Below are 12,496 nucleotides of genomic sequence, written 5' to 3'. Positions count from 1 at the left end.
GAAATCATAATAAGCAGTGTCTCCGACCACAGCACAATCAAATCGGAACCTAAGATTAAGAAACTCACTTAAAACCCCACAACTACAGGGAAATTGAACAACCTGCTCTTGAATGACTCCTGAGTAAGTAATGAAATTAAGGCAGAAATCAAGAAGTTCTTTCAAACCAGTGAGAACAAAAAGACAATATAACAGAATCTCTGAGATGCGGCTAAAGCATTGCTAAGCGGGAAATTTAAAGGACTAAATTCCCACATCAAAAAGCTTGACAGTCCTCAAATTGACACATATATCGCAACTAAAAGAACTAGAGAGCCAAGTGCAAACAAACCCCAAAGCTAGCAGAAGACAAGAAATAACTAAGATCAGAGTGGTGCTGAAGGAGATAGAAACATGAAAAACTATTCAAAAAATCAACAAATCCAGGAGCTGTTTCTTGAAAAAATAAAATAAAATAGACAGCAGTCTAGACTAATAAAGAGGAAAAGAGAGAAGAATCAAATAGACACAATAAAAAATGATAAAAGGGGATATGACCACTGACTCCATAGAAACACAAACCACCATCAGAGAATACTATAAACACTTCTATGCAAATAAACTAGAAAATCTAGAAGTAGATAAATTCCTTGACACATACACCCTCCCAAAGATGAACTGAGAATAAGATGAGACCTATAACAAGTTCTGAAATGGAGGCAGTAATAAATACCCTACCAATCAACCAAAAAAAAAAAAAAGCCCAAAATCAAATGGATTCATAGCTGTCTTGTTTTTCTCCATTCTCTGTGTATCAGTTGCTTCCTTGATTAGTCCCAATGCAAGTATCTGAATGTTTCAGCTGAAGGTGCTGTATTTACTCACTCCATCTGTTTCTCTCCACAAGAGCCATGCATATGAGCTGCTTCTAGTTGGCCATCTTGCCCACTCCCCCACTTATAATAATTTTCAAGAGTATACCTCATATTAAGTGATTTTGCTAACACAAGAAATACTTCTGAGATGTTGCAGATTTGGTTCCAGGCTACTACAATAAAGCAAAACATGCAATAAAGTGAGTCACACAATTTGTTTTGGTTTCTCTGGCACATAAAAGTTATGTTTACACAATGCTGCAGTCTATTAATTCTGTGGTAGTATTAAGTTCAAAAAAAGTACACACCTTAATTAAAAACACTTCTTTGCTAAAAGTAGTAACACTCATCTCAGCCTTCAGTGAGTTGTAAACTTTTTTCTTCGTGGAGAGTCTTGCATTAATGTTGTTGGCTACTAACTCATCAGAGTAGTGACTGCTAGTAGTTGGCGTGACTGTGGCACTTTCTTAAGGGTAAGAAAACAATGGCATATGCCACATCCACTAACCCTTCTTTTCACAAAAGATTTCTGTTTAGCATACATTTTTGTTTGATAGCAATTTTCCCATAGTGGTACTTCTTTCAAAACTGGAATCAATCCTCTGAAAGTCTAATGCTGCTTTATTAAGTAAATTTAAGTCATATTCTAAATCTATTGTTGTCATTTCAGCAATGTTCACATAATCTTCACCAGGAGTAGATTCAATCTCAAGAAACAACTTTCTTTTCTCTTCCATAAGAAGTAACTCCTCATGTATTTGTTTTATCACGAGATTGCAGCAGTTTACTTACGTCTTCAAGTTCCACTTCTAATTTGAGTTATCTTTCTATTTCCACCACATCTGCAGTTATTTCCTCCACTGAAGTCTTTGTTATAGGGCCAACAGGTTCATATGCCCACTCTGCAATAATAGACCAATTACAATGAGACATTATGTTTTGCAACAAAGAAAGAGTATAATAATTGGAGGGCACTGAGAAGGAAGATAGTTGGAGGCCCTCAAACTTACCTCCTCAAGGAAATCTGGGCTGGAGTTTTTAAGGGGTTAATGGAGGGTGATGGACTGAAAAATTGGAGTCATAGATTAGTCAGGATAATGAAGATAAAATCAGTAGGAGTTGGAAACTGCATTCTTTGGTGAGTCAGCTCCTTGTGGGGTCCTTGAGAGCAGCTGGCATCAGGGAGGTCCCTCAGACCAGCTGAGTCAGTAGTTTCATCAGTATGCTGGACCTGAAGGAATACCTCAAAGAGAAAACCACATTTCAAAATGTTTAAGTTATTATCTATAGAACAGTTAAGATGAACTTTAATCTTGTAACAATGTCTGCATAATTCTAAGACAATAGCCAAAAAACTATTAGGAAGTGAGTCAGAGAGCAAGCTAATGTAATAATTAATACTGAATGTACTACAGGCTTGGTTTACTTTTTTTTTTTTTTTCCCCTCCCTTTGTCCTTCATTAATTCAACAAAGTCTATAGGAATAGTTTCATCTTGAAACTCTCTAAATCATACATGATGGTTGTAAGAATCAACACGTAAATGCTATATCATAAATGAACCTTTAAAATATTATGCTAAGTAAAATAAGCCAGCCATAAAATATCACATATTGTGTGATTCCATGTATTTAAAAAATGTCCAGAATAGGCAAATCTATAGAGACAGAAATTCAAGTAGCAGTTGCCCAGGATAGGACAAATGCAGAAAGAAGGGGTAGGGAGTAAAAGGCTAAAGCTTATAGGGTTTATTTTTAGGAGATAAGAGTTCTCTAAAATTGACTCTTACGGTAGAAGCACAATTCTGTGAATATACTATGAAACATTAAATTTTACACAATAATTGATAATTTGTATGATATCTGAATTATACGTCAACAAATTTACAAAAGTTTTTGAACCACATTTAGCTATTTTATCTTTAGTTCTGTGTCAAAGAGACTGCAGGAACATGAGCCTCTCACTGCTACTCTTATGCACACTATTCTGAAATATATTACATGAGTCAGGTGATGAGTCCATCCAAGATCATTGATATTAGCTGAATTACAGCACTTAAAAATCTAGGGCTGGGTGCGGTGGCTCACGCCTGTAATCCCAGCACTTTGGGAGGCCAAGGAGGGCAGATCACAAGGTCAGGGGTTCGAGACCATCCTGCCGAATACAGTGAAACCCCATCTCTACTAAAAATACAGAAAAATTAGCTGGGTGCGGTGGCAGGTGCCTGTCTGTAGTCCCAGCTACTCAGGAGGCTGAGGCAGGAGAGTGGTGTGAACCTGGGAGGAGGAGCTTGCAGTGAGCTCTCAAAAAAAAAAAAATCCAAAAAGAACATTAAACGCACTTGTGTAAACAGGTCATCTACCTTTTATTTGTCTCTTTGTCATCCACATGCTCAGACTGTTAATATAATGTATTTACTTTGAAGTGTAAAAGTTACATTTTAACTTCTTGACTGATTTATACTGGATGTCACCATGAGAAATGACAGAAAGGAGCAGCAACTGGAAAACAAGCATTGCATTGCATCAGGATGTCTATGAAATGGACTTCAGCTCTTCTGCTGATACAGCTGAGCTGTTACTTTAGCTCTGGGAGTTGTGGAAAGGTGCTGGTGTGGCCCACAGAATTCAGCCACTGGATGAATATAAAGACAATCCTGGATGAACTTGTCCAGAGAGGTCATGAGGTGACTGTATTGGCATCTTCAGCTTCCATTTCTTTCGATCCCAACAGCCCATCTACTCTTAAATTTGAAGTTTATCCTGTATCTTTAACTAAAACTGAGTTTGAGGATATTATCAAGCAGCTGGTTAAGAGATGGGCAGAACTTCCAAAAGACACATTTTGGTCATATTTTTCACAAGTACAAGAAATCATGTGGACATTTAATGACATACTTAGAAAGTTCTGTAAGGATATAGTTTCAAATAAGAAACTTATGAAGAAACTACAGGAGTCAAGATTTGATGTTGTTCTTGCAGATGCTGTTTTCCCCTTTGGTGAGCTGCTGGCCGAGTTACTTAAAATACCCTTTGTCTACAGCCTCCGCTTCTCTCCTGGCTACGCAATTGAAAAGCATAGTGGAGGACTTCTGTTCCCTCCTTCCTATGTGCCTGTTGTTATGTCAGAACTAAGTGACCAAATGACTTTCATAGAGAGGGTAAAAAATATGATCTATGTGCTTTATTTTGAATTTTGGTTCCAAATATTTGACATGAAGAAGTGGGATCAGTTCTACAGTGAAGTTCTAGGTAAGTAACTTTTTTGATTGGTAACATGAAGATCTAACTTTCTTGTACCTTTGAAGCTGAGTTTGTATAAAGCCATAAAGTCAGGGTAGTGGGGTATTTTTGTAATGAATTTATCAAATGAAATTGTAAGATGATCTACCAAACTCACAAGCACTATAGAAAATGTAAATTATAGGATCAGTTAAAACTCTGTGGCCATCACTCATACAGAAGACTCCAGGAAGTCATAAGCCTGTATATTAGTGCACCTAAGATTTCTTTAAGCAATCACATATCTGTTTTATTATACATTTTTTCATCTTAAAAAAAAGTCAGACTTATTCAGAAACATCTTGCTGAATGCATACTGGTAGATTGAGTAGTTACACATTTTTTAGAACTATCTATATAACATTGCAGAAATTGTTTTTTCTTGTATATTTCAGTCTTATTATTTAGTAATTGCAATATGTACCCATGTTACTAGAACGTTTCCTCCACAGTTGAGAGAAATGATGTCTCCATTTCAGAATCAAAAACCAATGCATGTTATTTGAAGTTTCCAGTGTTTCTATTCCTTCACTAAAGGATTGGAAACCATTTATTTTAAGGCTAATCATCTTGTCAAAGTGTGAACATTAAGTTACAACTGTATAGTTTTTTTTTGAAACTATGTATCTTTCTTTAAAAATATGAGCCAAATTAAGGTTGAATGCAAATTTCTGTTTCAACAAGTTCTCAAAATTTTCTAGCTGTAATTTGCAAACATATTTACCTAAAAACTAATATTATTATGAGGTTAGCATGACTCAAAAGCAGTAGTAGGTACAAGGATTTCAGCCATCATTTCAAAATAATCAACAGTTAACCTGAAGAACCAAAGATAAAAGATTAGATTAATGAATGGGAAATTAGACTATTTGTTAGAAAATTGTTTTTATGGGTATGGTAGAATTAATTGATCACGGAGCTCAAAGAGTGGTTTATACGTATATCTGCTACTATCGAAGGTTTACAAAATAAAGAAATGGAGATTAATTCTCTATGGCTTGTTTGTGATTGTGAATATACTGATGTGACATGAGGGATGCAGTTTTCCCTCATGATTCTCTCACCACTTTGCCTTTCTTGTAAATACACATGGGTAAAATATATAATACATAAAAATTAAATTATGCCTATATACGAATATATGTATTTTTTTTCAAGGCACAAACACTTTGCCTACATTTTTGCCCACATTATTCTAACTTCTTTCAGAAAATTACCTAGTTTAATTATCTTGTGTCATCTATCTTTTCTTTTTTTTTCCCCCATCAGGAAGACCCACTACGTTATCTGAGACAATGGCAAAAGCTGACATATGGCTTATTCGAAACTACTGGGATTTTCAATTTCCTCACCCACTCTTACCAAATGTTGAGTTCGTTGGAGGACTCCACTGCAAACCTGCCAAACCCCTACCGAAGGTAAACTATTACTGTTTGTTTTGTCTGCTTTGAAGTTTCAGTACGAATGGTTCTATATTCATTCAAAGTGTTTGACTTACACTGGAAGAAAGGTGGAAGTGGGAAGAGTAAAGCAGATACCAATTAGAAACTGACGTACATGTTGATACTATCACAAGTTTATGAATTTCATCATTATTACCAATAAAGAGGGATACTAAAGAGACTTTGAAAATAGGGTTGGTAAATTAAAGCTTTGATTATGCAACATATAAGAAGGTACTGGCCATTCATTCAAAGAATATTTATAAAGAGATTAGCACACACCACAGGTACGTGTATGGGACACAGTTTCTATCCCAACACACCTTACATTCTATTTTGAAAGATAGAATATATGCAAGTAATAAAAACTGTGTAAAAACTGTTATCTCCAGAGAAAAACCAATGCTAAGGAAGCATCCAGTGTAGATAATAGAGAGTATCCTGGAGTCACTGATATTAATAATTTAGATGAGAGCTGAACTATATGCAGGAATAGGTAAAAGAATGAAGAAGAGAAAAAAACACAAAAAGAAAAGCAGGTAAAGTGTTCAGGACAGTTCTCAAGACTCAAAGTTTAGTTTGCAAGGAAGATACTGAGTAAGAATCAGATGATGCTGATAGGCAAGATAAGAGCCAGATACTCCTCAGGAGTTGAAATATTTATTAAGCACATTTAGGGACTACTAAAAAGAGTTAAGAAAAGAAAATATGGGATAAGATTATAGTTTTTAAAAAAAGATTCCAAGATGTTCGATGGATTAAATTGTGGAAGGGCCAAACTAGAAAGAGCTGACCATTGAGGAAATTTTGTATGAATTCAGGTAGCAGATGATGGAAAAATGGACTAGAAAGTGGATAGAATTACCTATGCCTACTTTTACAGTAATATGACTAACTTCATATTGTGTTGTGTGGAAAAAAGTTAATACAAATAAACCACTTAAAATGTCTCTGGCATATAGTTAGTGATTCAGAAATATTATTTTGCAATTATGGTTATTTTTGTTATTACTAATACTATGAATTACTTAACATGTGTAAGTCACTTGAGATATTATTCCTCATTTAATAGAAACTAATTATTCAGCATTTCAAGATTATATTCTCTAACAAAGTCCTATGGTCTTCTATATGACAGATACCCTGTAGACTTGTTTAAAATAAGACATATCAGTTTTGACAGTAAGATGAGCAAAATGAAATTGTAAAATTCTACCACAAGTGACAAGGATCTTCATCAGTATTCTAACTTATAAGAAAATAATCCCTTACCGATATAAATGTGTGATTCTATTAGTATTTGCAGCCAGACCCAGTGTTCACTTGATTTTACTAAAGCATTTAAATCATTCTGCGTTGAGATCCCAGAGGTTTACATCTTAGCATAAACATACCCTATTAGAGCAGGTGTTTTCTGCCTTAAGACAAGCAACCCAGTAAAGCTTCCTGGGATAGCTTGTGTCTCAACATCATAAGTGCCTGAGAGAGAAGCACAGAAAAAATGAACAACGCATGTATAATAAAGACCAAATAATTTCTACCACTCGTATCTGAATCGTGCCCTCAGTTTACAATAATAAAAGAATTCTGTCATCATATAACATTATATTCTTTATGGAGGAATATAAGAATGTAATATATTTTAAATTGATATCACCCTTCTAAGAAATAGGTAGAAAGTAAGCATTTTTATTACATTATGTAATCTCTTAAGAGATAATTTTTGCCTACCTCCTTATTAACAGCAACATGAAACTGATATTTTATTCCATGGTTAAAATCCAATATCTATGTTGAATGCAAATTGTATGGGCTTTATATGGTAACTTTCTAAAGAGACAAAAGCTGAGATAAGACTAATGAAAATTCTGTCCCACCCTATCCTACTCTTGAAAGATTTCCCCACTCACATTAAGGGAAACTGACAGTGCCAGTAAGAGGGAGAAGAGAGTACGAGGTGTGGAAGGATAAGAAAAAGATTGAGTCGTAGTACATGTGATAATTACTAATACTAGCTGTTGTTACTAACTTGTAGAAAGCTTTGAATGCAAGTCAATGGTTGTGAAAGCCATTCTCTAATTGTTTATCATGTAAAATAACTGCAAACCCAATTTGCTTTCTATTCAATTAAATATTAGATTCTCAGATAATTTATGCATACTTTAAGAGAAAAGGACACTTGGCAAATGTATTAAGTATTAAAAATGCATATAGCCATTGGTTTTATAATATATTCACATGAAATCATACAGAGAAAAAATAAATCAAGATGTACATATTTAATATTTATGGAAAATATTCATAAAATAAACATCAAAAGTAATCAAACATCTGAAATTAAGGAATAATTAAAAACATATACTAGATGCATACTATAGCATTACAATAATTTTATCAATAAAATATTCAGTTACAGTCAGCTATAATACAAGTAAAGTGAGGTAGAAAATTATAAATATTACAGGCTGACACGTTTTTTGTAGGAGGAAAAGGTATATACAATCAGAATAAAATTGTCTAAATAAACGTCACAAGTGTACATTGAACTATAAAGATAGAACAAAAGCCATGATGAAAACATATGTAGTTTACAAGGTGACATCTCTCGACAAAAATTTTAGAAAAAAAATTATTTTCTTTTTAGAACTTGCACTACTTCTATAAAATACCTTACATACATAGTGTATTATTATTTTAAAGTTGTCACAGAATGGGAAACAACCAGTCCACATCAATAATGAATCCCCTTTAGGGATTATATTACTTTAACACTGGGTGGATGAAGGCGGCTCTGGACATCAAGCCACTGAAACAAAACACTGAACGTAAGTTACATCAAATGTGGCTACAGGTAACTGCAATTACGCACAATACCTGGATATCCTATGTATTACCTTGAATAGCAGAACAATGACTCTAACATCATTAACACTGATGTCTTAAGATTAAAAATCATATTTTAAAAAATGCTTAGCCATATGTGGTCTGCAAATAAACATTTGGAATCTTTTTTCTTTGTTTTGTAGAGAACACTTAAGAAAAAGTTTTACCCCAATGATTAAATCTGAAAGTATTTAAATTTCAAAATTGGCGTACATTGGGGAACACAGGTCAGAATGATTCCCAGTAAATTCCAGCCAAGTACATCTTCACTAAGATTTTTATGTAGTGTGGGTGATCTACTCAAGAGGGTGACCAAATCTCTGCAGAAAGTTCTGGCAGTCTCTCGCATTCTGGTGCAAGTGCTGCTGCCTCTGAGACACAGCAAAATGATGATGAGAATTCCTCACATGCAGTTATAAATAGCACATCAATTTAACAGTGTGATTTCAGGGAAAAATTGTTCCACTTAAACAATCACCTGAAAAATATAATCATTCGACTATGTAACTACATACTGTACGATTCTGTATTACAAATGAGAATACAGAATTATTTATAGAAATTTATAGAAATTCCAAACCACAACAGCAGACTCCATAATGTCAGTGATTCTTAACCACCACCTTTTACAGCTACTTTTTTTTCTCTTTTGAAAAAAGACTGGAAAACTCTGACAAACTTTAAGTGAAGTGTAAAGGATTATAGAATAAGATAAATGTAGGTTTACGTAATCCCAGCTGTGAGTAACTTTTCCTCAGTGCTCAGAGTCAGGGAAGTCAACCACTAATGACTTCAAACTAAAATAATTCTGTAGAAAACCTGCCTAAAATAAGCATATGTGATTTAGCGAGCAACAATATAGCATTAAAGCCAACTGGTGCCACTTTAAAGAACCTATATTAGTACTTATAATATGATAAGTGAAGAGTTTGGGTATCTCCTCAAATACTGTGTAATAACTCTATTTCATTTCTCCCTTTCACAAACGCACACACATACACACACACATATTTACACAAAGACCCTTAACAGAGGCAACCTATCTCATATTATACATATTGCAAAAAAAACTGAGTAATTGAGTCAGTTAAAAAACATCCTTTACTCCAATAATTCCTGATAAAACTTGATTTTCTCTCTTTTTATAACAATTCTTTCACAGTGCTTGCTGTGCTGATAATCTATTATGATAGAACAAATTCTTTTTTTTCACAGGAAATGGAAGAGTTTGTCCAGAGCTCTGGAGAAAATGGTGTTGTGGTGTTTTCTCTGGGGTCGATGGTCAGTAACACGTCAGAAGAAAGGGCCAATGTAATTGCATCAGCCCTTGCCAAGATCCCACAAAAGGTAAGATAAAATGTTTTAATGGTGTAAAAAACTACTGAAAGAGGCTGTTAAAGTTTGTAAAGAACCCAATTGTAGAAACTTCCTGCCTATATATTCAGCTGTTGGGAAAGCACTAATTATCTCAGATATTAATTCAAAATCAAAAATATGTATGGAAGATGATAAACTCATACAGAAGGTGTTTTTCATTGGTAATTAATTTGGCATTAATATTGTGATCAGGAATAAATACAATTAAGAGTTGCAGGTAAAGTTTTGGTATTATCATGATACTGGGGTCAGGTAAGAGCTATCACCAAATTCTGCCCCTGTGATTTGATCCTTTTGTTTAAGAACTCCTGAGGGCGATGTACATCCTACAGGTGTTAGAAAACGTTACATTTTAATGAGTAACTTCACTAGCACAATAACAATAGCAGGTATTTCAAAAAGGCTGACATGCATCATGCAGTTTAGTGTTGCCATGTTACCCAGCCTCGTGTACTTCCTGTACATTTTGGAATAGGCCTATTCAAGTGATATTCAGGGTACTATTCAGAGAAAGGAAGGCCTAGGCTGTCAGACAACTAGTGTAAGGATCCGCAGAGCTAGGCAGATTTGGAGAAAGAGAAAAAGCAGCCTGCTTTGCTGGACTGGACCCAGCCAATGTCTGAAGTAGGCAGATGAAAGAGAAAGGGTGGAGATGGATCCTGCTCTGAGGGTGGACCCTGTGTAGTATAAAATGTGGCCCCACAAGGACGCTGCACTATGAGATTAACAACTCCTCCCAATGGAGGCAGCAGAAGGAAATATAGAAAGGACTCAAGCAGAAGGAAGCCAGGCAGGGGAACAGGTTCAGATGCCCCCTCCATAGAACATAGTAGGAACATATTTTCTTTTATATAGAATAAAATGTGTATTTGTCAATTACTTTTTAGTTCCCTGCCTGACATATCCTTCTTGTAATGACCTATGCTAATATTTTGCCAAAAACTCAAAGTTACTTTAACACTGATGTAACAAATAGAACTTAAACACCGTAAATTATTTTTTTTTAATTTATAAGGATTCCTTGGGGGTTCCAAAATTAGTAACTTAAACATAAAAATGTCTCAGCTATAGCAAAACATACGAATCACTGTTGTCAAAATTTTGTAGCACATTTTCTAAGTGTTAACAATCAATTGACCAAAATTCAGCAAAATGCAATTTTGAATTTATTCAAGAGTTGTATTTTTATTTATGGTACCAACAGGTTCCTTATTTCTACATTGACAAAATATCCAAAATTAGCAATACTGAGAATACTCTGAATTTGTGTCAAAAATTGTCACTTGAAATTTTTCTTGGAAGTAGTTCTTGATAATTTGTAATTTCCAAGAAGTTATACATGCTACCTTTGCAGCATTAATTGACTTCTTCCAAGTAGCTTATTTTATAGACTTGCATTTTTGTCAATCAAAGGACATCAAACTCTGTTAAAATGACTTATAGATAAGTAGATATAAGTGAACTACTTCCCATATTACTCAAAAAAATGAATAAATTAATATTAAATTTGGTAGATGAAAACTCATAAAATACATTAAAAAAGCATATAGGTCATTAGTAAATTGTTGTTGCTTTTTCACACTAGAATTATGACTACCTAAAATTTTTAATGCATATAATTATTAAAATTTTTTATCTTTTTAAAATTAAGTTTTATTTTTTAACTTTTAATTTCAAGGGTAAATGTGGAGGTTTGTTACACAGGTAAACTTATGTCTTGGGGTTTGTTGTATGGACTGTTTCATCTTACAGGTAGTAAGACTAGTACCTTTTAGTTATTTTTCCTGATCCTTTCTCTCCTCCCAACCCCCACCCTCCAATAAGCCCCAGTGTATGTTATTCCTCTCTATATGTTCATGTGTTCTCATGTTTTAGCTTCCACTTATAAGTGAGGGCATGTGGTATTTGGATTTCTGTTCCTGTGTTTGTTTGCTAGGGATAATGGACTGCAGCTCACTTATGTTCCTGAAAAATACATGATCTTGTTCTTTTTTATGGCTACATAATATTTCATGGTGAACATGTACCACATTTTCTTTATTGAATCCATCATTGATGGGCATTTAGATTGATTTCATGTCTTTGCTATGGTGAATAGTTTTATATAGAGTAAAATGTATATTTGTCTGTAGTAAACATACATGTGCATGTTCTAATTTGCAGTCCTTTAGATACATACCCAGTAATGGGATTGCTGGGTTGAATGGTATTTCTGCCTCTAGGATTTTGAGGAATCGCCATGCTGTCTTCCACAATGGTTGAACTTACAGTCCCTTCAACAGAGTATAAGCATTTCTTTTTCTATACAACATCACAAGCATCTGTTATTTTTTGAGTTTTTAATAATGGCCATTCTGACTGGTGTGAGATGGTATCTCTTTGTGGATTTGACCAGTGATGTAAACCTTTTTTTCATATAGTGGTTTGCCACATATAGTTTTCTTTTGAAAAGTGTAACAACTTTTTAAATACTTGAACTTTTCATTGATTATCTTATTTGTCTAAGCTACTATTTTGAAAAATCATGATTTCCTTATATACCTAATTATGAAATTAAGGAAATGAAATATGAGTATTCTATTTACATCAGTCTGAGTAGTTCTTGTTACTTAACATCCCTTGTTCTTCTCATTGTTAATCTCTTTAGATTTCTAACATTC

At 34.2% G+C, this 12,496-nt stretch overlaps 1 protein-coding gene across 3 annotated transcripts in view; it reads left to right on the top strand.

The window, feature by feature from the left end:
* The window catches only part of UGT2B4 (UDP glucuronosyltransferase family 2 member B4), a 45,850-nt gene that overhangs the window by 26,770 nt on the left and 6,584 nt on the right, over window positions 1–12,496 (top strand). For 2 of the 3 annotated variants that reach the window (NM_001297615.2, NM_021139.3), the window contains exons 1-3: window positions 3,340–4,104; window positions 5,404–5,552; window positions 9,675–9,806. In NM_001297615.2, coding sequence (NP_001284544.1) covers window positions 3,384–4,104; window positions 5,404–5,552; window positions 9,675–9,806 — 1,002 coding nt within the window. In that variant the 5' untranslated portion in view covers window positions 3,340–3,383. Of the gene's footprint in view, window positions 1–3,339; window positions 4,105–5,403; window positions 5,553–9,674; window positions 9,807–12,496 lie in introns of those variants that run through there. The other variant, NM_001297616.2, reaches the window with a different exon arrangement.

This window comes from Homo sapiens, chromosome 4 (genome assembly GCF_000001405.40).
Source record: "Homo sapiens chromosome 4, GRCh38.p14 Primary Assembly".
NCBI classification, from domain to species: domain Eukaryota; kingdom Metazoa; phylum Chordata; class Mammalia; order Primates; family Hominidae; genus Homo; species Homo sapiens.
This window is presented reverse-complemented; position numbering and strand designations above follow the sequence as displayed.